The 26,951-nt window shown below is 42.6% G+C and overlaps 1 protein-coding gene across 25 annotated transcripts in view; it reads left to right on the top strand.

Moving 5' to 3' along the window:
* PDE1C (phosphodiesterase 1C) overlaps positions 1 to 26,951 on the top strand; it is an 811,448-nt gene that overhangs the window by 350,721 nt on the left and 433,776 nt on the right. For 4 of the 25 annotated variants that reach the window (XR_007060044.1, XR_007060042.1, NM_001191059.4 and 1 more), the window contains exons 1-3: positions 6,476 to 6,525; positions 7,109 to 7,211; positions 25,924 to 25,950. The exons of 9 other annotated variants lie outside the window; for them this stretch is intronic. Coding sequence is in view for 13 of the 16 variants with exons in the window: in NM_001191059.4 (NP_001177988.1) it covers positions 7,111 to 7,211; positions 25,924 to 25,950 (128 nt within the window). In the remaining 3 variants the exon portion in view is untranslated. 25 annotated transcript variants of the gene reach the window in all.

Below are 26,951 nucleotides of genomic sequence, written 5' to 3'. Positions count from 1 at the left end.
GTAATATAGCAATGATTTGATAGGTCATTATCAAAATGTAACTGAAAGAAAATTATCGGTATATCTATTTATCAAGATAATACAGGCTTTTTCTATTTACCTTGGGTGCTCTGCCCACCCCTAGATCCCTTTATAGTGTTCCAGTTTCTGTCCCTTTGTGTCCTGCCAGATGGATGAGATGGAAGAAGCACTACTATTTTATGAGAACCTCCAATGTACAAGGCACTGGCCATACGTGATTTTTTGTTTGTTTGTTTGTTTTTTAAGATAGAATCTTGTTTTGCTGCCCAGGCTGGAGTGCAGTGGCATAATCTCGGCTCACTGCAACTTCTGCCTTCCAGGTTCAAGTGATTCTCCTGCCTCAGCTTCCTGAGTAGCTGGGACTACAGGAATGTGCCACCACGCCTGGCTACTTTTTGTGTTTTTAGTAGAGATTGGGTTACACCACCATGGTAGCCAGGCTTGCCTTGAACTCTTGACCTCAGGCAATCTGCCTGCCTCGGCCTCCAAAAGTACTGGGATTACAGGCGTGAGCCACTGTGCCCGGCCCTGTTTTTTTTTTTTTTCTCCTTACAACATTCCTATAAGGAATAATTGTATTATTAGTTGGCATTCTTTTAGTTGTCAGTAACATAACTCTGACTCAAACTAGTTTAAGTTAAAAAAAATTGGTGGGGTACATTTATTTTGTTCATATAACCTAAAAGTCAATGGGCATTCTGGCTTCAGGCATAGCAGGATCAGGGGGCTCAATGGACCCTTTCACATTGTTTTTCTTTGTCTCTCTAGTTCTTCTCTCAGCTTTTTCTGTGTTGATGTCATTTTTTTTTCTTTTTTCTTTTTTTCTTTTTTTTTTTTTTTGAGATGGAGTCTCACTCTGTCGCCCAGGCTGGAGTGCAGTGGTGTGATCTCAGCTCACTGCAACCTCCGCCTCCCAGGTTCAAGCAATTCTTGTGCCTTAGCCTTCTGAGCAGCTGGGATTACAGGCGTGTGCCACCATGCCCAGCTAATTTTTATATTTTTTTCGTAGAGATGGGGTTTTGCCATCTTGGCCAGGCTGGTCTTGAACTCCTGACCTCAGGTGATCCGGCCACGTCGGCCTCTCAGAGTGCTGGGATTACAGGCATGAGCCACTGCACCCAGCCCTGATGTCATTTTTCTGGTATATTCTCTCCACATGGTGAAAAGATAACCCCATGGCTAAGATAACTTCAAGCCATATGGCTTGTTTCTCAAAGAAAAGAGAAATAGACCATCTCTTTCCTAGGGGCCACATCAAATCTCCCATAAGGACCAGATCTGTTTCAGTCACATATCACCCCCTGGACCAATCACTCTATCCATAGGTATGGGGTCCATGGTTCTGGTTGGACAATCTAGGTTATGTCTATTATAGTCAAATCTGGCCTGCGGGGGCAGACTCAGGTTTTCCTGCAGCTTTTTTGGGTCCGTGAAAAGCTTGGTTAGCCCAGGCCAGACTAACCATGCCTCTGTTGATGGAACATTAGGGTATGTGAGCATTGGAAAGGGATCCAGAGGTCCCTGAGCCCAACCCAACCATGGCCAAACAAGAGAAGGGTCTTATCCTAGGTGGCGTGGTGAGGCAGTACCACTCCAAGTCCTTTCCTTTGCCTGTGCCACCTCTATCGGAAGGATTATGTAAGCTTCTCTTGTGGGAGCAACTGAAGGATCCTGGCAGAGAGAGGCGCAGAAACTGTGGGTCACATGCAGACTACATCGGGCTGCCCCTGAGCTGCCCTATCTCTTCTATCTCTTTGTCTTCTCACTTCTCTGGGCCACTACTTGGTAATGTAGTTGAGATTCTGGCTATTCAGAGCCCCATTTCAGAGGGGGGCTAGAGTGGGGGTACCTCTGGGCTTAGCCAGTCCTCTGCCTTTTCTTTCACCTCTTTTTTCTAGGGAAGGTGGTTCCTGAGACAGAGTCTGCCCCAAATTATAAAATCAAACAGAAAAAGACGTCAGAGGGAGAAGCAGGGTAACAGTGTCGCCAAAGAGGCCCCTTTCCCCACAAAGGAAGCCAGTGAGAGAGAACAGCCTCTGTTGACAGAACATTGTGGGGGCCGCCTCACATCTGGTGTGGGCGGGGAGGAGGGGCTGCTGTGCCTGGTGGTGCTACTTCTGATGTCCTAAATGTGTCTCCAGAATTTCCCCCTCAACAGACTCTCTTCATGATGCCACTGCCAAGTCGTGAAAAATGGATCAAGGGCATAGGCTGGCTTCATGGAGGTCAAAGCAAGTAGTCATCATCTCATAGCTGAAAGAAAAAAAGCTTTGCTCTTTCTGATTTGCCTATTTTCCTTTTTCTACTCTTCCTTGTTTGTAAGCGGAGGAGCTTGTTTGCAGTTGGTCACTGGATTTCTCTTCTGCAGCCCTGGTTATCATTTGCACCATAGTTGTTGCATGCTCCTGTGGCAGCTTCCTGGAGAGCTGACCTCTGTGCACAATGCCCTTGGCATATTCAGGGCAGCAGGTACCCTCCACATGTGGCCATGCCTCTCACTGTTTAGATGTGCCCATGGCTCCCTGACATCTATAGGAGAGAGCCCAAGCTTCTTCCATGACAACAAGAGAATGGCTGATCATTCCAGCATTTTCTCTTTCTGTTCCGTGTCACATTCACAGACACACCACACAAAACGTTTGTGGATTGCAGGACACCCTACCCGTTACCATGTTTCTGTGCCTCTTTTCATGCAGTGCCCTCTCTCTGGAATCACCTGCCTCCACCCACCTTTCATGCAAACAATTTCTACTCCACCTACTTTCAAGATCCAGTTCAAATGTCACCTTCACTATGAAGCCTTCCTAATTTCCCCACAGCATGAATGATCCCCTCATCCATGCTCCTGCTCCTTTCCGTACCTTCTCTATTATATACCTCTTTACTAGAGTTTTTGCGTGTCTGCAGGGAGGTGGTATAGCAAAGGCAAGAGAACATGAGCTTTGCCTTTTGGTCTGGGTTTGGAACCTGCTGTGCCATGTATTAGCTGTATGTCTTTGCAGAAGTTATCTGACCATTGGGAGCCCTTTCTGTCTTTACTTGTAAATGAGCATAATTAAACTATGCTAAAGTATTTTGTTGGGGATGAAATGGATCAACCTGTGATGTGCCTGCCATGGTGCTTGGCAAATGATAGTTCTCAAAAACTGGTAGGGTGGTAGATGTGGTTATTGTGATTATAAATGAACCATGAAATCTTAGCAATGAAAGAGACCAGGGGGGTCATTCTCATGCCTTCAAAGCCTGATTCCTATTTTTTTTTATCAGATTAACATCTAGCTTCCCCTTGAACTCTGGGACAGGTAGCTCACTTTCTTCCTAATCTTTTGTGATACTTAATTCTGACAGTGCAGAGGTTGGCTAGTCCATAGACTTAGTTACTCTGTGTGAATTTGCAGGAGTACTTTAAATTGTTGGTTATATGTATGTATGCATGCATACATGAATGTATATGTGCCTGTGCATATATATATATGTATGTATGTATGCATGTCTATATGCATTTAGTGATGTTTGACCATGTAATGTTTCCTAAACAGTTTTACTGAAAAATCTGGGTTAGGAAGAAACAAAGGAAATTAAACTGTAAAGCAAAGTTGTGAGTGGCTTTGTGTTTTCTTAGACCTTTTGTTTCCAGGTCTATTTGCATCTGTTTCTTTTTGCTTGCCTCTGAGCAGAATGCTAGTAGAAATTGTGGCTTGTGGTGTTGCTGCAACTATCAAGCATACTTTGGCTGTGATAGATGAAGAGAGAACACAATCTGAGTGACGTAGTAACATGGTGCATCTAAAAATAGTAGTATTTTGTTGGCAGAGAGAAGACAAAGTTGTTTTCTAATGTGGTTTAGGAGCAAGGAATCCTTAGTTGTTTTGTGGTATTTTGGCCTCAGTTTTCTCATCTGTAAAGTGGGAGCATTGGGCACTAAGAGCTGGGGTAAAGAGGAGGCAGAGGTGGACTCTGTACTTGAGAACTAACTACTTCCCTTCCCCATTCAACTGGAGCCACTCTATCTTTATTTTTTAAAGCTGAGTTATGCATTTGAGTTCCTTATATTATTTAAAATAAAATATTCTGTTGCTTCAAAAATTTGAAAACCTCCAAACTGTGTTGTCTTTTGGGCTCCTTCCTGCTCTAAAGACTATTATGGCTGTAGATAAAGCAAAGTTATATTTTTCCTGACTTTCTAATACACATTAATTTTGTAAGAAATTTTCTCAAATGAAACAAAATCTAGCTTCAAAAACTTAAAAAAAATGTTTTTGCTCTTTTCTCTCTGATTTGCTTAATTGCAGCAAAAGTCGATTTCTTTCCTTTTTCTTCCAAAATTTGCTTTTCTCTGACAATCAAAATTCCACTAAGAGTAGGAAAAAGTCATAGATGTGGTATGGAGTGAAAGGTAAGTATCATGCTTAATATTCCTTTGTATATTTTCATCCTAGGCCAGTACTTAGAGAAACTATGACATAGTTAAAATGTGAATTCAGCATTATTCGTCTCTCTTTTCAGCAATTTCTTTTTCCAAGTCTCTCCAGATGACCTCAATGAATCATAAAGCTGAAAACAACATAAAAATATTTTTGCCTAAATGTATCACTTTATAGATGTGGAAAATGGGACTCTGTGAGGGGGATGTATTTGTATAGGATAAGGTAATCAGCCATAACTCAAACTCTGGTCTTTTCTAGTTCAGTTTTCTCTCTAGTTGGTCTAGGAAGCCTCCTGGTGCTTCAGTTTTCTTACTGTAAAATGGGGATGATAATAATAGTATCTACCTCATAGAATAGTCTCGAGTATTACATGAGAGTAGAACACTTAGAACAATGCTTGGGCTATGGAAAGTTTCTGACACTTGTTTGCTGTTATTATCATTATTGTACTTCCACATGGTGCCAGCAGGCTGCCCAAGGTGCACACACTAATGGAAATACCCCATTTGGGGACCATGCTGCTGTCTTCCATTCTCAAAACACGTCACTATAAAAATTTCCTCTTGTGACATTCTATTTCCCCAGGGCACTGTTTCTCTGCTGGGTGACACTGGAAGGGTAATTGGTTTTATTCAGATAGATGAACTCCATGTTAAAATATTGCTTAATGTTACCATTGCCTAGTAATAATACCTTAACTCAGTGAAAATATATGCGCCTCCATAAACCTTAAAAGGCTGCCTTTAATGGGGCGACTTCAGATTTACCTGGCAGGTGAGTAGGTAAGTCGTTTTTCATCAAACAGGTCTTTTGTCTTACCTTGAGTTACTACCTTCTCTGCTAGAATGCATGGGGCCAGCCAAGCATCCTCATCACTCTCACCTCTAAGTTCTGGAAAATGAATGCCAATTATGAAGTGGGTGAGCATTTATGATTTAGAGACCATTTTATTCCTTTGTTAAGGTCAGGTGAATGGAACTTTACTTGAGCAGTGAAGAGAAACTAGTCCTCACTTCTAAGTTTATCATGCTTTTGGGAAGCAGGTAATCATCTAATAGATAGGAAAATAATTCTGAGAGTGTGATGGAAAGAAGTATTACCTGTCATTGAGGAAAAATACTGTATAGGGCATGCCCCACCCTGAATCTCAGGAACCCTGAGAGCCAGGTTTGAAATAGCCCCTGGTGGTGGCTTCACCTAGAAGGAAGTTTGACGGACCCTTCTGTGATGTCGCTTGCAATCATCTTGGGCATGGATTCCCCCAGTCTTTGGTTCCTCTCTTCATCTGTCCTCCCTCCCTGACTCCCAACTTCATACCTGGTCCCGTTCTTCCAGAGCATTCTACCTTATTGACATTGTTCATGAACTAGGGGAACCCTGACAGTGAGTTGCAGCTTTGTGGAGCTGAAACTTTGTCACCATCCACAGCCGCCCAGCCAGCACCCAGGAGGGACCCTCTTGAGTAGCGTGTGATATTGATCTGAAGAAACTTACCTCCTCACTATTGGTATATTTTCTCCTTTTCTTCCGCACAAGAGAGAGAGATGGGGGTGGGGGGGTGAAAGGGAGGGAGGGAGGGAATGAGGGAGGAGAGAGAGCGCGAGCGAGAGAGCCCCTTTAGCAAGAAAACATCAAGAGTTTTTGAGTGTGGTGTGTGGTTCCCTTCGTCCCCATCAGTCGCTTCAATATTTCAAAATGGATCCGGTTCTGTGGCGGGTGCGAGAGTGAGGCTGTGGGGGACCTCCAGGCCCAACCTCCGCGAAGCCTCGCGGCTTCTGCGTGCCCTGGCCCCGGGAGGATAAGGATTTCCCTTCCCTCCTACTTGCGCGCGGAGCCGAGCTCTTGTTGAGGTGAGGGTTCCGGAAGCCCACGCAGCTCCGCAGGTCGGTGGTGGCCGCGGCTGCCCTGCGGGGGTGAGTGTGCCCGGCCGGGGTCGGAGCCCAGCGTGTGCCCGGCAGACGGCGGTGCCCGCGCGCCCCTCCCTCCGCGCCCGCGGTGACAGCCCAGACACCAGCCCGGGCGCTGACAGACGACTTTTCTCACTTGTCAGTTTTCTCGCTTGTCAGCAGAGCTGCTGGTAAGTGAGAGAAAACAGAGGGGCGCGAAGGCAGGCGCGGCCAGGGAGTGAGCGGGGCGCTGGGCGCGGGGCGGAGCCGGGTGCGCGGCGTCCGGGTCAGGCCCCACCGCCCGCGCCGGCTCCCGCTTTGCTCAGCCGCCGCTTTTCTCTCCCTTCTCACTTTCTCTCCTCCCCACCCAGCCCTCCTTTTCACCTCCAAACCCTTTAGCTGCGCGCTGATCGCTTCTGTGGCTTTGTTTGGGGGTAGGGGGAGAATACGAATAGACCCGAGGTGCTTTCTCTTGGAGCTGGAGTCCAATCCCAATCCCTATCTCTATCCCTATCCCTGTGCTTATCCCTGGGCATTAGCCCGGGACCATGGCTGGTTCCCGCAGCTGCCTCCGGAGCGCACCTGGGGCCATGGTTTGCCGCGATCGGAGTCCGCTCTAAGTCGGAGTCTGGGGGCGCAGAAGGGGGAGCGCGCCGAGAAAGTGCCGGGCAAACGCGCGCCGCGCCTGGCTGGGCATCGCGAGCTGGGCGAGGAGACGGGGAGGGGACAGCCCAAACTATCTCAGCTTCACCGCCAGTGGTCACCTACCTGCAGCTATGGAGTCGCCAACCAAGGAGATTGAAGAATTTGAGAGCAACTCTCTGAAATACCTGCAACCGGAACAGATCGAGAAAATCTGGCTTCGGCTCCGCGGGCTGTAAGTATACCTATTTACTTCTCCTGCCCCATTTCCCGCTCCCATCCTTATTTTACCACACAGCCGCAGTCACGACTGCTCACCCTGTTCCTGCATGGGCCTTTAAATACAACCCTAGAAGTTCCACAACTGCTGCTCTGTTAATTACAGTCACTGCTACTTTTCTTCCAACACAGAGAGGGTTGTCTTTCTGTCTTAGAATGCCTTGCTGTTCCAAGTCATGCTTTTTTGGGGGGAAGGAGAGATGTCCTTTGATGAGTCAGTTATGGTGGCCCAATACTCAATGAGGTGTTTCTGATCCTTTTTGCCCAGGGAGAAAAGTTTGAGACCCAGACAGGGACTTTTAATTGAAGGAAGAATTTTTCTCTGCAAACTGCTTGCATACACTTGGGCAGGTGGTCCAAGAACTTACCAACAGTTAAAATTCAACATGCATTCTGGCTGCTACATTTCTTTTTTCCCTCTCCTTAGCCCAGTCGAACTTCTGATATTTCCTGGGGTTCTTTTTGGTGGAGAAATGTTTACTAGAAGGAAAGGCTCTTGTGGAGAAAGGGGGGGCAGAAACGATATTGGGGTTTTCTTGCAATATTTGAACAATGAAATAGAGTGGCCAGAATTCTAGTTGCCCTGATGGATGGAGATCTCTGAATTTCATTCACTTCATTGGGTTCTGTCTGTTTTTGGGTACTGAGGAGAGGTGACCTGAAAATACATGGTATTTTCTGTAAAAATATTTCATCATCAGTGAACTGCTGGTCACTCCAGTCAGGAGCTTGAGGGATAGCTGTATATTCACAGCTTGCTCCTCAGTCACTGGGCAGGTCCCAAAGACACCTTCCATTACTACTAGATACTACTTTCATCAGTCATTTGGCATCAGATATCTAGTGTGGTTTAAAAATATGGCTTTTCTCCAAGCATATTCTCTAGACATTCTGTTTCTAACAAGGGCACTGATGGGAAAACCAGCTTCCTGCCAGTTTGTTTGTTTTGCTGCTGTTATTGTTTTTGAAAGCACACACACAAACAAAAGACAAATAAAAAATGTGTTGATCTAAGTTAGCTTGATATTCAAAGTTTCTAAGGAGAAGCATTAAGGTAGTATGTGTTTCTTTAAGGGGTCCTTATTGACAGGTGCAATTTATAAAAGCCATTCCATATATAGTCCAAGTGAGCTTCATTGCCATTGATTTCAATGGGAAACCATGCCAAATAATTTGATTTTTGACTTGTCTAGCCACCGCTAGTGGAGACTGTAAATTTATTTGGAAACCTTGTCTCTGGCTGGCAGGCTTTCCTGACAGTTTAGATGCCTGCAACGCAGCAGCTCTCGGAGTGGTGTTTACAGTAATCTCATGTTATATTTAGTGAACATTACGTCCGATTGTATTGTGCTGCACACAGAAAGTTTGTTGTGTCCACAAAGTCTGGGCCCAAAGTGTATAATGTGAAAGCGTTGTCGAGCTGGATTCCTTGCCATGCTGACTAGAGGGATTCATATCCATACACCCAGGAACTTCTTCTCTTGGACTGCTTTTCAATTTAAACCGACTCCATGGAGACATTTGGGCTAGAGACAAGTGTTTGGTCAAATCAGCAATGCTGAGGCGGGAACTTGTGTGGAAAAGCATTAGCACTTACAACACTGCGTCGTGTAGCTTTCTCAGTTTCATATCTGCTAGGCTTCTCTCTCCAAGGTGTTGCAGTGTAATGTAACTACATTTTCATTTTCTAGTCTCTTGTATCTACTCAGAACCTAGTGCTTTTGAACATGAAAAGTGTGGGGTGATTATAGCTTCACTTTCTAATTTGAAAAGGAGATGCTATTATTTGTTATTATTATACATATTTTTACCAGTATGTGATCCTTACCACTTCTTCTTCTTCTTCTTTTTAAACATAACAGCAGTGCTAGAATAAATAGCTAAAGACTCTGGAAACCAAAGCACACACTCTTTTATACAACTTGGAATAACATTTTTGCAGTCCACAACTTGGAATAACACTTTGCCGTCCACAAAATAGAAACCCTTAGGGGAAGGAAGGGTGTGTGCATATTTGTCCACACAACAGATTGTCAGTAAGAGAAAGGAAGCTGCTCTTTCAACATTTTAGAAAGCCTCAAACCATAATTGGATTTTCATACCAATATATTACCATGACACCTTTATAGAAAGGGCTCTGTAGGTGACCACAGATGGTCAGGAATTCAGTTCAGCTTGTCTGAGAGACATCTCACTTCAGGATGTGATCATCAACTCACGCCTGGATTATTCAATGTTATCGCATCTCCTTCTTGTTGGTATCGCCCGTATTTAATTTATTGTTGAATTTTTCATCTCCTCCATTAGAATGTAAGTTCCATGAGGACACATACTTACTCACTGCAATACCTAGAACAGCATTTAGCACATAGTAGATGCTCAATCAATAGGTGGTGAAGCATAAAAACCCAAATGTGAGCTTTTAAATATTCAAAATGAAGATAAATATATATTTAGGACAGCTTATGGCCGTGAGACCTGTCAACACAATGAGCCATGAGCTAGCTAGGATGCAGGTTTTATTAACATCATTGCCCAGGTTGGGGCACAGAAATCTAAACTGAGGTGGGAAATGGGCAAGATGTGTGGCAGAGTTGTGGCCCAGGGCTGAATCCCACTGTGGTGATCATGTGGGCTTTCTCTTTCCCTTCTTTATAGCCCCTCTTTCACACTGGTGAGAGGTAGTCTTTACCAGAGCAAGAGGATTTCTGTGGTTATCACCTGCAAATAATCAACAGCCAAGTATATTGCAGGGAGGTGTCCCCTATACATTCCAACCCGTACCCATACCCTGCCATGCTTTATTTTTCTCTAGCACTTCCCACCATCCGAATGCTGTATAGTTTATTTATTTTTAGGTTTATTGTCTGTCTCCTCCAGCTAGAATATAAGCCCCATGAAGACAGGGTTTTTGGTTTGCTTTGGTCACTTGCTTTTGGTTTGCTTTTTATCCCCAGTGCCTACGCTTCCACCCGGTATACAGTAATACATATTTGAAACATAGAGCTGTTTTACATATTTCTCTAAGAAAGAATTAGGAATAACTCTTAGCATTGTAGCATCATCAGCATACTAACAGTGCATCAAATATTGGAGATGTGAGTTTTAAACACTCTATCTTAGCTGGGATTATAGACACCTGCAAGCCCAGGTGTCTGTTATGATGATGGCGCCCATGCCCCTTGAGCGAGGTTCTGCACACTAACGCTCAGAGGCTAGCTGTGATTTCCAGGGAGGGTGCTGGTCCTCAGCCTTGCTCTGTGGCCCTGATGCTGCTTACGCACATGCTCCCATTTCTCTAAGTGAGAAGAAAACAAATACTGCACACCTGAGCTTTCTTAATTGGAACTCTCAGAGGGATGCTGTCCTCTTACTCTTTGGAGAGGAGCCTCATTTTTCCTTTTCCATAAACCTCAGTTCCTCCCAATGAGCTGTTGTCATATCTCTTTTCTCTGGAGGACTGGATAGAGTTTTTGAGTCCCTCTGAATTACTTTTTTGTGTCCCTCTGAATTACTTTTTTGTTACAGAATCTTTCAGTCAGGGAAACAGGGCTGTGGGTGTTCTATATACCCCTGATGAAGCCTCATAGGGCTCCTTGGGTTTGAGCAATTGGGTTATGACTGTACCTTGGGTCCCGACCAAAAAGTTTTTCTATTGCCAGCCTGCTAGATGATGTCAGAAACGTGTTTCTATGCTGCATTTTTTAAAAACTGAGAGCAAGAGAGCAGGTTTTACTTATTCCTTGGCATTTATTATCACAATTATAATTATCTAATCTCATATATTTATTTTGCCCAACTATGAGGTAGTTGGTATAATAAATTTTATGCTTATATAACACTCCATGAAGATGATGATGCTTTTTTGCATTACCTAAAGTAACATTATTAATATAAAGGCAAGAGAATGGCTATTAAGTTAATAGACTGCAACAACTATTGTTTTTGTCTATGCAGCAAGCTTCCCATCCACCTTACTATGCTAACAGACTCTACTCCTCACCCCAGCATACTACAGGACTGGCCAATCACAGAATTCACCTTCCAGGTAATAAAAGTTGGTTTCAAGTAGGGTATGGATCCCAAACAGAAGCATTAGAGTCCCTCATTGACATTTCTGTATTGGCTGTGGGAAAGGGAGGCTTTGCTTTTCTTCTGGACTTTCATGGGGCTGCCATTGGATCCATTTCCCACCTCATAGAGAAGACCTTTTATGATAGGAGGCAGTGAGGCTAGTGCTCAAAAGGAAGCAGAAAACACGGAGTGGGAATCCCTGGGTCAGCTCCTGGAGGTCCCAGTTCCTGTAGATGTGTCTCCAGTTCTGTCAGCTGTCCCAGCTACATGAGCTAGTTAGACTCTGTTTTTGCTTAGGATGTTTTGAATTTGGTTTCTCTGAAACAGTCTTAACTAATACCCTATTGATGTACAGAGAAGTTAAGTGACTCTTCCAACCTACACAGCAAAGATGAGGAGAAAAGCCATAGGCAACAAAGCCTGGACCTTTGGTTTTAAATTTCTTATTTAAGCCCTCTCTGTGTTTTCTTTCTATATAACCGAACTTTTAAATGATATAATTAGTGTTCAGGCAACATGGGATTACTCAATTAACATTTACTGAGTGTCTATTAGGTGCCAGTCAGTTTGCTAAGCCCTGGGTTTGCAAAAGTAGGTAAGATACTTACTTAACTTTCAGCAATTTGAAGGCTAGTGGCAGAGACTGATATGAGTACCTGGAGGTGATGAATATAGTTCCAGGGGGATGCGAAGGAAGCTACGTCTACCTGGGAGGGCCAGAGAAGGTGTTACAGACTACAGTGAATTGTGTATTCATTCTAGGAGACTCATTAGAGTCATAAGGAAGAAACTTGCTTAGACTCTTTTCATTGATGTCAGCCTTTTGCAAAAATGCAAAGAAACCTTTTACAAAGATGAGAGAAAAACAAGGAGTCTTCCGGGCAGCCCAAAATAAACTAGTTGAGATTTCTGAGATGTTCTTAGGGACTACTGGCAAAGCTGCTTGCACTTAACTGAGATATGGCTTGTGTTCTAGTGAACCTTCTCTATGTTCACCACTCATTGAGAATTCCCTAAGGAGAGAGTATGGTTGGGTCTGTTTGCTGTCATGCAACATGGAGCTATTGGAGATAAATCTCACCACCTCCCCCTCACTGGCCCCCGGCTCCTCCCCCCCCCCCCCACCGCCGTTCCGTCAGAAGTAGTTGGCCCCTGAATTGGTCTGGGTAACAGGATTACCTTCTCCTACTAATCAATTCCCAAGAGCCTTACTTTCCTTAAAAGCTTAATGTGTGGTGTCCTCTTGCAGCTCATCTAGTGCAGTACTGAGGGACAGATAGAAGTGTAGTCATGAGAGGTGATGCTGGAAAGGAAGGCAGAGGCTGGGTAGTGATACATGACATTTAAAAATTTTACTTTTTGTTTTACTCAAAATTATGTATGCTCATAGTTTGAGGAGGTGAGTAATTGAACACATTTTACTATACAACAAAAAAGTGCTGTGTTCTAGGTGTTCTTTCATATCTTCTAGAGAAATATATATATATTTTATGATACATAATATTTTTAGAAGTTTGTGTTTTATCCTTTCAGTTATAAGAAATTGTTAAAAGATGTTAAGCTGGAGAGTAACAAAATTAGATTTGAATTTTAGGATTGTAATTCTGGAAAAAGGGTGGAGGACAGATTGGAGATGCGACTCGAGGCCTGGAGACCAGTTGGGGAAGATGCCTGATTTGGGGTAGCGCTGCTGAAGATGAAAGAACAGGGGGCATGTTTGAAATGAGAATTGACAGAACATAGATTTAGAGTAGAGAAAGAGGAGCTGTTGTCTTCTGAGTTCTTTCAGCTTAGATGTCTCAGTGAATTTGGTGTTATTTGCCTCGTTAGGGACTATGGAGATAAGAGCAGGCTAGGATAAAGCAGAATGATAAACTTGGGTATAGATATGTTAAATTGGTAGCCTCTGGAATGTTCAAGTAGCTATTGGTGATGGCAATATGGAGCCATGGAGAGACCTTTGGCCTGGAGTGGTGGGTCTGAGAATCTTGGTTCTTATTATTAAATCCTTGCAAGGAGATGACCCAGGGAAGAGGGCATTGACCTGAATCTTACCAGAAAAGCAATTCCAGGAGAATACTTTAAAAAATTGTTGTTTGTTTCCCCCAGATTACATATTTAATGTATTAACTGGTCCTTTTACTCTCCCATTCAATTGGAATTGCCAGATCGTTCAGCATATTTTTATTGGGTTTCCATTATGTACTAGGTGCTAGGAGCTTCAGAAGGGATACGAAAATATCAGAAGAAAATCCTTACCATCAGGAAACTTAGAATATATTGAGGGAAACAAGATACGTCTTATACATGTGAAAAGGTTAAAAATCAACAACAAAAAAGAGGGCAATAATTAATTGCTGACTAAGTGATGTGGACGCTACATGCTAGGATTCAGAGAAGGGAGACATTTGTGTTTGAAGGATTGTTTTCGAGTCTTTCTTTTCTTAATAAAGATCAAGTTAAATCTCTCTGAAATACATTCTTAATGTATATTAAAGGGGAAAAATGTGAATATCAAAAGAAGTAGATTCTCACATTTACAGTGAAATTTTCTTTACTTGAATACTCATGCAGCTTACTAGTACATCATCACTTGATTATTGTAATTTGGTTATGCTAGTGTATTAGTTAATTACAACTCAATATTTAGCAGCAAAGTGCTTAATATCTTGACTGAGCTTTACAGCATTCCTCTGTCAGTTGGGAAGCAGCCCTCAGCAGAGAGGTTTCTGCATTACCATCTCTAGTTTTCAATCTTTAATTTTCTTTGGCTCATGGAAGACTACTTTCCTTGGTTTCCATTTCCCCACATGGAAGAAAAGTGTTTATAGGACCTATCTCCTGGATTTTTGAGAAACAACTAAAAGAAATAATTGTTATTAGGTTAATGCAAAAGTAATTGCAGTTTTTGCTGTTAGTTTTAGCGGCAAAAACCGCATTACTTTTGCACCAACTTAACAAATATAAGGCACATTACAATAGACTGGGACAGCTTTGAGAATGACCATCATCGGAGTTTCCCACTAGCAATAAAAATGAATTCTACAACAAATGCAACACTCTATTTCTGGAGGAAGTATACTGAATTCGTGTAAAGTGTTGGTATTCTTCAGGCTTTTATTGTACTGTTTATACAGAGTCCTCTTGACAGCTGTTATTAAACAAAATAAATGAGTCTTAATGACCGTAAGACAAAGCTAGATGTTCCTAGCTTGTGAGATTATGAAAAAACTAAAGAGAATCATTCCATCCAGAAGATATAAAAATTGATCATTTTAGGTAATGAGTTTTGTTCATATAGTTGAAGGAATACACATCTGTATGCAGAAAATTCAGTCATTCATTCACTTACCAAATATTTCTGTGGCACTTACTATGTGCCTGGTGCTGTGCTAAGCACCAGGGAATTAGTGGGAAACAAGACAAAGGCTCCCTCCCTCGGGGGATGTTCAGCCTACAGTAGAGGAATATATTAAACAATACTTCCATAAATTACTACCTGCTGTGACGAGTGCTGCAAGAAGTCCAGCACAGGGAGCTGTGAAAACATAGAAGAGAGGACCCAAACCTGGTCCGGGATTCAGAGAAGGCTTCTCTGAGGAAAAGAGACGCATGCTGAGACATGAAGATTATGTAAATTGTAGTTAAGTAGAGTTAGGGAAGCGTATTCTAGGCATTTAAGGCCTGGGATGTTTATACCTGTAAAGATCTAAAGACAAGAAGGAGCATGGCCCCTCTGAGAAAATGAAAGAAGGCCAAGTGGCTGCAGCGCAGACTGGAAGGAGGCGAAGGCTCCAGACACAGCTGGAGAGGAGCCAGGTCCGACTTCATCCACCAGGGGGCCTCAGCAAGGGGAAGCCATTATCAGTAGGCATGGATGTGAGAACTTTTTAGGAGGTAGATCCAACAGGACTTGGATATGGGGGATGAGGAAGAAAGTGGAATTAAGGTCAACTCGCAGGGTTTTGGCTTGAATCCCCAGGTTCTTTTTTCTTAGATTAGGATCACTAAGGGAGGAACATGTTTGCAGGTCTTGTCGTGAGTGGGAACAGAATGAATGGGGGATAGAGAGTTCAGTATGGGATGAGTTCAGTGTGGGACATACTGACTATGAGGGGAGATATGGGGAAGGCAAGAGCAGTTGGATAAGTGAGTCTGGAGATTAAACAGGTCTGGAGATATAATCTACAGCCCAGCAAAGTAAGCAGGAAAATTCTGTGTATATCTGAATGATGCCAAATTAATATATCTATAAATTTTGTAAGTAGAGAATACAGTTTAGTGTGACCCCTAAATAGTCTGAAGGAAGGTTTCAGAAGACCAAAAATTTATGTATATTTTCTCATTGGCATTTACTTGTTCAAAATATTGGCATTTACTTAGGCCAGCTAATAATCATAACTTTACTTGAAACTTATATTGACTACTTGGTATCATGCCCATCAAAACATAGGTTTGGAACAGAGACAGAAACCAGTATGGTCATTCCCAGTATTCCAAGGGCAGAAAGAGGCCATGACCCAGGGAGCCAAATGGGATGAGCCCTCATCACGGACCTTCTGGGAGGTAGAGGGCACATGCCATGGGGCTGAGACCTGAAGCCTGGAGCCTAGCCCACTGCAGAAGGGCCAAGTGAAGCTTGGCTGCGTGGAGGCTCTCTGGCTCTGGCAAGAGGCCTTTCTGCAGTTTAGGCTCCATTGAGGGGGCTTGGCCTCCTGTGCCTGCTCCAGAGGTGCCTCCATGGATATGGCTGGGCCTTGTCTCCTGGAGCAGTCCACAGTTCTGGCCACAGCGCTCACTCACTGTACCACCTCTGCCCATTCATGCCCTTTCTCTGCTCTTTAAGGCCTTCCTTCTATTTCTACCCAAATCCAAGGACCCATTGCAAGGACCCGGTATTCAATATTCTGCCAAAATACAGCTTTCCTTTCCCTTAAGGCCACCAGAAGAGCAATAATTTAGACAATCAGTATGAGAGTGCATGGAGCATTTTGTCTGAAAGTCACAATTGGATATCCAAAGACCATTAAACTGTTGTTTATCCAGATTCCAACCAAAGAAAATGCTTAAATAACCAAGACTTTTCCTACACTCTAGAGATACATCTAGTAAATATGGAAGTGAAAGATTAATCTTTGAAAGCTCCTTCCAGATGTTTTAGGAGTAGTTCAAATTCCGACTGACATCCTGCCACTTGTTTTCATTTGTCTCTCTGACTTTTGTCTAAGGATGACCCACAAAAGTTTATTGCATTTAGTATACCATTCCATGTGGGTGTCACTGGAAACCGTGTCTGCTAACTGTGAGGAATTTAAACACTTTCATAAATAAGGCCTTTCCTAGCTCATTAGTGAAATAGAAGGATTAATTATCATAAATCAAGCCTCATAAATGTTGTTTCAGAACTGCCATTCTGACTATAAAATCACTGACTGAAATTAGTCATTGTTAAAAAAAAAATGAAAGAATCGTTCAAAGCACCAATTTCTGGGAGATTTGGCATAGTTTCAGTGAAGGTAACTACTATAGCTCAGGAAAATTTGCTTCCAATGCTCATCTGATTTCAGTTGACAGAAGAGCTCAAAATGGTCCCAAGAAATGCATCTGCTAGTTGGCGCTTTTTTTCCCTGTATTTTGGACAATGGGCTCATTTTGCCATATTTAAATTGTTGAGATTTATAGAGCGTGTGTTTAGGGAGGCTTACATAGATGATGCTACTACAAGATAGGATTTTGGATGAAATAGGAAGGACTCATGCTCCCAAGGAGCCATGGCACTGATTCAAATTCACCTGGAATTGTAAATGACCAGCAGCTGCTTTCTGCCAGGAGTCAGTTTTGATAAGAGTTGGGAGGAAGGGCACAGAGTGGGGAGAGGGAAGGAACACTGCAGGAGTGGGTAGGCAAGACTTAGAAAAATTAGACTGACATTGAAGTGAAATTCAGCAGAAGATTACAGTTTTTGTTCTGGCTAAATCTACAAGGGGAAAAACAAAGTAGAGAATTGAAACAGCTCTGTGAATAATTCAATTAGAAAAAACCCTACTCCTCCCCTAATTACAGGGATAGATCTGTGAAGAGTGAGATTTTGTCTTAATCCTTTGGATTTATATCTACTTTGGCAGTGCCGTCACAGATATTAAGAGATAGTTTTGCTTTTAGCTTTTCTTACTGATGTTTATTTAAGCAGGAGACGGGCTCCCAGGAAGAAGGTCGTAAAAATTGCTTCCATTCCCACCCACACAGTTTTGCAGTACTTATAACACAGCAAGTGGTTGTAAATACGTGAATAGAGGACTAAATCAGTTATGCAAAAAACGTACTACTTGGGCTTCCACAAGCATGACATTTGCTTTCTATTTTCTTTCTCTCAAAACCTTTCCCTGTTTTTTCCTTGGTGCCACTGATTAGCTCATTGCCCAGCTTTGAGCAAAAGGCTTTTAGCTAGAAGGAAAGGAAATTGTGTTTGGTTTGCTAAAAAAAAAATCTTGCCTTCCAAAGGAAGAGTTCAGCTTTCTTTGGGGAGGGGTCCCATTTAGGGCTTCTTAAATAGGAGTCCAAGTGCTGGAATTTTTAATCCAGGCTCATGAGAGAAGCAGGCATGAGCAGCAGATTTGATTTCTGTTTCTGGCCAGCTGTCTGCAGGCAGCCGAGGGGATGCGGAGGGAGATCAGTGAAGAGTGGGGCTTGCTTTGGGAGGACAGGAGCACTGGGGCAGCCTGGGTCTGCCATGTGAGTTGGTGTAGCCCCAGGTGGGGCTTCCTGTGGGGTTGTTTAGTTTGGAGTTTGTTACCTTCTCCTAGGTTTCTCTACTTTCCACTGCCTGGCCAGCACTAGATAGAAATGCACTTGCTCCTAAGAAAGAGTAAAAAATTGACTGTCTTATTTACATCTCTGCTTCAGATTTGCATTCTCCCATTCTTTAGGGTCACCATCCCCACCCCCAAACCACACTGTCAAAGGCTTCCTTCATGTGAATTTGATCCATCACTTTTGGCTAAACATACTGGAGTCCTCTATGTTTGGGAGCTGGCTATCTCTGAATATGATCTTCCTTTTCTAAGATAATTCAATGACAGTATGAGTCTGTAGAACAATTTTCTCTACTAGAAAACCTAGCTAATAAATTCCCTAGAATTTTTGTTTTTGTTAGTTTTTCTTTCCTAATGATTGGGCTGTTCAAGGTAAAAATGAGGTTTTTTTTTTTTCCATTTTATAATCTTTTGTTGTTGTTGTTGTCTTGCTTTGGACTTTTGGCCAGGCAGGAAAATGAAATCATTGTGCACATGGAATTTCATTTTGTAGCTCATCAGTTAAATATTCGAGCTAGTAAGACAGGAGATTCTCTTACTCTATTATCTCCTTTCTCACCCTTAAATATTCTTGTGGAAGGTGTCAAGAGACCACCAGTTTATGTATATATTTTTCTCATTAGCATTTACTTGTTCAAAATATGGGAAAGGCCAGGAAGCAATGGATAGCTTTGCAAAGTTAGTTTTTAATACATGCATCATGGAAATGAAATCACTGATAGGAATGAGAAGAAATGTACAAAGACTTTCCATTCTCAGTAGCGCGTAGATTAATTCATACAAATGATGTAAGAGATCCATTAGAAGTTTCTAGAGATATCCAATTCTTTCCAACCTGTACCCTGCATGCCAGTGAAAAACAAAACCAGAGGATCAGATGATCGTTCAGATCCTCACTCATTTCATGGTTATTTGTGACATTTTATCTCAGTCCACTTTCCCATGAGTGAAACACATGTGATCTGTACTCATGAGAACCTGTAGTTAACTACACGAGCCTTGCTGTGCATTTTGTTTTTATCTGAGCCTGTCTTTCAATGTCCTATCCCTTGAGAGAACTGAGGGCTGAGAACCAAGCTTTCCGAAGCGGTCTGTGTGTCGGCGGTGGTAGTGGTCTCTGGAGAAAAGAATGGAGACAGGATAGGACTTGGAGAAGAGTGAGTCATTGTTACCCAGAAACCCTGGAGAACACTGAAGGCAGAACTGGAATTTGCATTGTGTGTATGCAGTTGTTGCATATTCAACTTCCCATACCAGGAAATCTTGTGCCCAACTGGGAGGTATCTTTCTGTCAACTTAGAAACAGAGCACAAGTTTTGGTTTTTCAAAGCCAGCTTGTTAGAATATTAAGCCTATTTATAAACCTCATTATTGCAGCACCCATATGGCTGTTGTTCAAAGATACTCACTTTAAAAAAGTGAAAGACTGCCAGGCGCTTCATAATTTAGCATCAATGTTTAATCGACTCTCACTTATCCAGGCTATTAGAAACAATTTCCAAATCATCTGTTTGATTCTGGAGTACTTGATGCTTACATTTGACTGCAGGTGTGCCCAGTACTCTGGGAACTCCTAGCCATCAAAAAGCAAATAAAGACCCTTAAAAGCATCCTTGCTCCCACCTCACTGTTGTTTCTCGCTGTTTGCCTGCTTATCTTTACTTTGCCCCTGACTGTGGACAGAATCACCCCTTAAGCTTGCTTAGTTTCATTCTTTATCTCCCTGACTGAGGGCAGGAGAAGGAAAATGAAGTTCAGGGTCTAGAAGCTTCCACTTTATGACACTGCCGTGGAGAGCTTTGGGGAACCTATTTAAATACTGGAGGTCAGTGCTCTTTGCCCTTTGATGATGCTCCTATTTCAGAATCTGCCTGTCAGGATGTGACCAGCTGCCTGTAAATGGACCGAAGCCGTTGAGGGGGGTTTTGGGGTTCATGTCCCCTGTTGTGCACAAGTGCACGCACACACACACATGCATCATTTAATACTTCTTGGGTAATCCACAGTTCCATTGAAACATTCCGGACATAAACAGACATTAAGACTAGTGGTCTTTTAATTTACTTAAGAGCTAAATGAGTATGGGTTAATCAATAATTCTAGCCATAGCACATGAGATCTCCGCATTGAGTTACAACTTCCTGAGACTGCTTAAGGATGTGTGTAAGCAAGTCACTGGGCTCAGTTTTTAGGGAGTTATTGATAAAAAGGACTTTCTTTGAAAGATAATTTTAGATATTTCCAAGGATTATTGTGATATCCAGTTCATAACTATCCAGTTTTACTTTCTTTTCTCCTGCCTTTTGGGCAATGGCTCAGCTTTGACATTTAAGGGGAGTGTGTGGCTCTGCTAGGTTAAGTGGGACATTGCTGGGGTGGGTGGCAGGGTGTACAGGCAGGCACACGGCCCCTTATGCATGGGAAAAGCTGGGCAGTGTTTCAGCTCATTCTCCTCTTAGCAGAACTGAGATTAGCACCTGCTTTCTTTGTGGTTCAAGTGTTCCAAGATAAGGAAAATTGGGAGTATCCAATTTTTCCATTCTGGAAAAGCAATCTTCAACCTTTTTTTTGTGACTTTTAAAATCAATGAAAGATTTTTGATCAAGTAAGTTTTGAAAACCTACTGAATTATAATGCCATTATTATTTATGCAATACTACTGTTTTTAGTACAGTAGCTGACGCTTGAGCATTTCCAGGATGCCCAGCACTATGCTAAATGCCCTGCAGTCATCATTACATTTAACTCTCACATCACCCCGTAAAGCAGGCACTGCTGTTACCCAAATTTTACAGATGAGGAAACCAGTGGTTGGAGAAGTGATATAAGTTGCTAAAGGTCATGCAGCCTGTCGGACACAATAAGTTGGAGAAGGGATTAAAGCTCAGGCAAGTGATCTTGAGCAGTATGCTGTAATGCCTCCCCTTAGAAAAACAGAAACGACAAACAGATGAAGCTGTGTGTGTGTGTGTGTGTGTGTGTGTGTGTGTGTGTTTCAGTGAGAGAGAGAGAGAGAGAGAGAGAGAGAGAGAGAGAGAGAGAACGGTGGACCCATTCCAGGGAACAGACTTTGCAAAGTGCCACTCTAGACCTTCTTTGAAGTGGTGTCCTCAGCCTGGCCTTGTGAAGATGCCCTTGCCTTCTCTCCCAGCATGAAGCTGGCCTCTCCATCTCCCACCCTGCCAAATTTGCCAGGTCCCAGAACACAACAGCTCTTTGTCATTCTCTACTTTCTACATCAGCTTGGTCTAGCTACATGAAATCTTGAGATTTGTAGTGTGTTGTTTCAAGTTTCAAAATATTACAAATTTAAATTAAGTTTTAGAAACAAATTTTAAAAACAAGCCAGGAATGGTGGCTCATGCCTGTAATCGCAACACTTTGAGAGGCTGAGGCAGACAGATCACTTGAGGTCAGGAGTTCCAGACCAGCCTGGCCAACATGGTGAAACCCCATCTCTACTAAAAATACAAAACTTAGCTGGGCATGGTGGCATGCACCTGTAATCCCAGCTACTCAGAGGCTGAGGCAGGAGAATCGCTTGAACCCAGGAGGAGGAGGTTGCAGTGAGCCGAGATTGCGCCACTGCGCTCCAGCCTGGGCGACAGAGTGAGATTCCCTCTCAAAAACAAAACAAAGCAAAAAAAAATTCCCTTTGTCTTTCAGATTGCGAGTCAGGGATTCTGTTGAAGTTCTTAAAAATAGAAGGCCAAGAATAAACTGGGGTTTTTTTTCCAGCTCATTTCCTGCATTTTGGTGGACAGAATGCAGTATGTTTTATTGTTATTAATTTTATTTTGGTTTTATCTAGTGTCTAAGTTTCTTGGTGGAATCTTTTGCCTTCTTTGTATACATTCCTTAATTTTCTTTGAAGGCTTCAGAATTTGCCTTCTGTCTCAGCCACTTTAAGGTTCTGTATCCTTAGGCAAGTTACTTAACCTCTCTGAGACTCACTTCTGTCAAGTCGAAAGTAGGTAGAACCTCTCAGGGTTTGCAGGAGTTGTAAGTGAGTTAACTTGTGTAAGAGGAATGGAACAGAGGAGGTGCTCAACAAATGTGAGCTCCCCAGCCTTCTCATTGCTTTCCCTCTGTGTGTAGGAAACCACAGCTGTGGTGGATGTCCTCACTGCTCATTATAAATCATTGCTTAGTAGAAGGAAAAAGAATAAAAAGAAAGCATTTTTGATCAATTTTTGGGTAAATGCATTCATGAATTCAATAACAACATATTGAGCAGTTGCCATGACAAGGAAGAAACACTAGCAGATGTCAGGTAAGCCATCATTCTTTCCATAAGAATAACAGATCATGACCATGAGCAGTCATAAGTGCAATGTGGTGGGTAAGCTCTGGCCACTATGGGACACACAGAAGGAGTGTTACCCAGTTTGGGGGGCCCTAGAAGGTCTTTGGAAGTGATGTTTCAGTTGAGAACTGAAGGATGAGTAGGGCTCAGTCAGGCCTCACCAATCTTGCCCATTCAAAATAATCTGAGAGTTGGATCTTGAGTAATTTTTATGAGTTGCATTTTCTCTTGTGCTTTAAGAGCTGACCTCCAAACTCCATTGTAAGATGATACCATTTGGGTTGATTTTAGGGCTGTGTCTAAATGGGAGAAGATTGAAGGGGGAAACTTTACAATATCTGAAGCTAAGAATATATCTATGAACGAGGGGCGTGTCAGGAAGGTGAGTTGGACTGAAAATCAGACTTCTGGTCTGTCTTTCTTTGGGTCTACCAGATGCACAACCCATCTTTTGATGTGTATGGGTGACAGTTGCAAATAGTTCATTTATTTAGCCAACCATGTGCCAGTTAACGTGCATGCCCTTGGGATAGATATAGAGATGCATATGACAGACCTCTGACCTCAAGAAGCTCAGAACTAGGGACCAAGGGGCCTAAAAATCTTAGAATGCCTCTTACATGGCAGGCACACTACATGACAAATTTAATACACTATCTCATTTGAGATCATCTCATCCATTTCACAGATGCAGAAATGAAAGCTTGATTTAGCACAGAGCTTGCCTGAGGTCTCATAGCTAGTGTGGGTGAAGTTAGGTTTTGAGCCAGGTCTATCACACTCCAGAGCCCTGTTGCCTTTCCACAAAATCAGACATGAGACAATGCAATGCCACGGAGAACGGTGTCAGAGAGGTTTCAGCATGCTGTGGGAGCACAGAAGAGGGTGTGTAATGCGGCTTCCCACAAGAGGTGACACTCCCCCTGGGTATCATCTTTTCTAAAATATAAATTTTATTACTCTTCCCACTTAACTCTGTCCTTAGCACTTGCCAGCCTTATTTCCTGCTACCTCACTTTATAGTCCCTGCTTGCTGGACTGGTTTGAGACCATGAGGCATGCCCTCTGTTTCTGCTTGCTGTATACTTCCATATTTCTTCCTGCTGACATTTCACCCAGCAATCAAGACTACCTCTTTCACAAAGCATCCCTTGTATTTGTTGTTAAAATAACACTTTAGGTGCATGTCTTAACTTCCTTTTTAGAATTTGCGCTCTTTCAGAGAGGGGATCCTACAGAGTTATGAGGATTAGCAAAGTATATTAAGTGCTTATTGCTAGTAGGTGCTGAAAATGAAGCTTTTCTTATTTTTGTTCATCTTTGATTCTTTCAGAACTCCCAGCAGTGCCTTTATAGATTTCTTTGGCAAGTATTGGGAGAATTCTGTGGAAACCAATAGCAAGGGCTGTCTTCTTCTGACCTCTGAAGATGCTGTCTGCTGATAGGATTAGTTGGGCTTCTGAGTAGAGGCTAGGGGCATTCTTCTTTTCCAACTGCCTCCTTGCCTTTGGTCCCTGTATACGCTCAATGGGTTATTTTTTCGTCTTGCCAGTTGTACCTTAGATCAGTTTGTTAGACTGCTGTGCTAATGAGTCCAAGGGCACAGGTCACACCCACAGCTCACTATGCTCCATGGCTGAAGGTGAAGCCTCTGCCCTTGGCTGCTGCCTGGAAAGTGTGAGCTGTCATTGGTGACAGGGTCCAGGTGCGAGAGAGTGATTGATCAGTGCACATGCATCATAGCTTTTGGGGAGAGTATGAGGTAAACCACACAAAGAACTTGCCCTTGGGGAGCTGATGTTCAGGTGAATTATCTCATTTATTTCTCATAACAAGGTCTCAGAAGAGGGGCTCTGATTCTTCCCACTTTATATGCAAAGAAACTGAGGTTCAGGGGGATTTAATAACTAGTCCAGCATTGTAAAGCTAAGTGCTAGAGCCAAGACTGGAACATAGATAGTTTGCTTCAAAGGCCAAGCCTTAATCTACTGTTAGTCAACTTTCCTCCCTATTATATGTGATATAATATAAACATGGAAATATCTCTATATAGTCCTATATTTGTATATACCTTTATATGTAACTAGGTGTATCCATATTTTAATATTTTTTTCTGTTATAATGCTCACTCTTTAAAGAAAATTTGGAAAATTCATAAAACTAAAAAGGAGTGATTTGTCATCCTACTACCCTGGAGTCATGGTTGTCATTCTGGTGTGTCTCCTTTCAGGTAAATAGATATCACTACATATCTAGTCAAGACCACACTGTAGGTTCTGTGTTACTTGCTGCTTTACACACCTGACACTGCCCTGTGTGATTTCATTTTAACAGAGATGTAACAGGTCCTAGTGATTCTCAATTTGAAACCTCTTTAGTTTACAAAGAAATATGGTACACAGCTCTCCATTAGCAAACCAGTGGTTTGCTTCCTGGGTACAGTGACTGTAATGGAAATGCTGGTGTGGAACTAAGGTCAACTGGGAAACATTGTACTTCCCGGATATGCTACAAGGAGATGGATTTTCTTTCCTTAACACTTCCTCTCCTCTAATCCCCTCCAGTGCTGAGCCTATTGAAACTCTTTTAAGGGTCTTCAGAGTCTACAAAAATTGACACACATATGAAGAACTTTGGGATATTGGGACAACATACATTTTATGGCCATTTTCTCCTTGTCTGCCACTCTGACCTAGGTGAGATGGTCAGAGCAGATGTTACTAGCTTCATGTGATAGATTAAGAAGCCTGATGCACAAGATTTGCCCAAGGCTAAATGACTGTAAATAACAGACGTGGGCTGGAACTGGGTCTCTTCTGCTTCCTGGGGATGGTTCCTAATGCTGGTTCTCAACATTTGCTTCTAGACTTTCTCATTGTCCCCTTCCTCACTTCTTCTTTTTTTGAAGACCTTATGTCTCATCTCATAGTTTAGCTGCATGATTGCACATTTACATTTAAAAAGGCACATCCTTAAAGGGACCTCAGTGCTAGATGTTGGGGATAATAGTAACGATAGTGACAACATAAATAACTGATCATTATTCACCATTTAACCCATTTAATATGTGCCAGATAAAAGAAGTGTTTTGTAAGCTTGTGTCCATTTACTCTGTAAGAACCTCATGAACCTGGTAAAGGAAGGACTGAGGTTTGAACCTAGATTTTGTGGTCTTTAAAGCCTGACCTCAACTAAAATGCCATGGAACCTTCAAAAGGAAAAGGGAAGAACATGGGAGCAGAGCCACTGAGCTCTTGGGATGCTATTTTTTACTAAAGGCTTAGGTTCTGTACTTCTGACTACAATATAACACAGCATTCCCAAACTTTTAACTAAGCTTTGAAACCCATAAGCTTCACAGAGAAACCCCCCTAAGAAGTGTTGACCCCCATGCCCATCCCCACTGAAGTAATCCCTTTCTTACCCACTGCCTGCCACAACCCTTTTCTGATATATGTTTATGCCTTTTCTTACAGGAGGAAATATAAGAAAACGTCCCAGAGGTAAGAACGTCTTTCTGAGCTGCAACTGGTTGATTCATTTGTGGCCCAGCTCTTCACAAGTCTGGCTCATGGTGGACTGGAACTGTAATAAACAGGCTTTTGGTTCTTTCTCAGCATGTTGCGTGCTTTATCTCCGATCGTGACTGCTGCTGTAATTAAAAATTGATTGCAGGCATCTAGTGAGGCACAGTAGGTGGATGCCTTCACAAGAGAGTAGATCCTGTGGGCTCAAAAGCTTGTTACTGCCATGCTGTCTAGTGATTTTCCTAAAACCTTGACCAGAGAGTGATTAGGCTGGCGGGGGCTGAAGGTTTATGGATGGGGAGCACAAAGCGGTCTTTATATAACATGTTTAGTGTCTGAATTCTCCTTTGTCTCAGAATATCCTTTGCCTGATTTGCTGACAAAATGCTGTTGAGCTCAAAGCACAGGCACAGATTCCTTTAAGGGCAGTGGCAGTCTTTCGATTTGACTGTGGAAAGGGTAATTTTAACTAGAATGACATCTGTCATCATCCCTCATGTGCCCAGCCTGCCTCTGGGCTGTGCTTTGCACTCTTTGGCATAAGGAGCCATGAGGGATCAGGTGGTCACTGGCCCTAACCTATGTGGCTATTAAATGTTGGACTTAAATCTTCTGTATTTATAGTTCAAAAATAACTCACCAGGTTTTTGAGTGCATGGCCTCCGAAGTCCAATGGGAAGCCCATTTTTCAGTGCATATGCGATTTTCATTCCCCATTACAGGACCCGTTGACAGATGTAGTTTGCTGACTTGGTGGAGCAGCATGTGTATTTGAGCATGCATACAGGTTGTGACTATGGAGAGGGTGAGTGGGTTCTCTAATGATAGAATAATGAAATGAGCTTAGGAAATGTCATGTACTTCCTCGTGGAATTTATTCATTTGTTCATCTTTTAAAAATTATATATATATCTAAAGTGTATGATATTTTTTCATATGTGTATATATATATATACATACACATAGTGAAATCATTA

This window comes from Homo sapiens, chromosome 7, assembly GCF_000001405.40.
Source record: "Homo sapiens chromosome 7, GRCh38.p14 Primary Assembly".
Taxonomy (NCBI): Eukaryota; Metazoa; Chordata; class Mammalia; order Primates; family Hominidae; genus Homo; species Homo sapiens.
The sequence above is the reverse complement of the archived record's forward strand: the minus strand, read 5'-3'. Positions and strand labels throughout refer to the sequence as shown.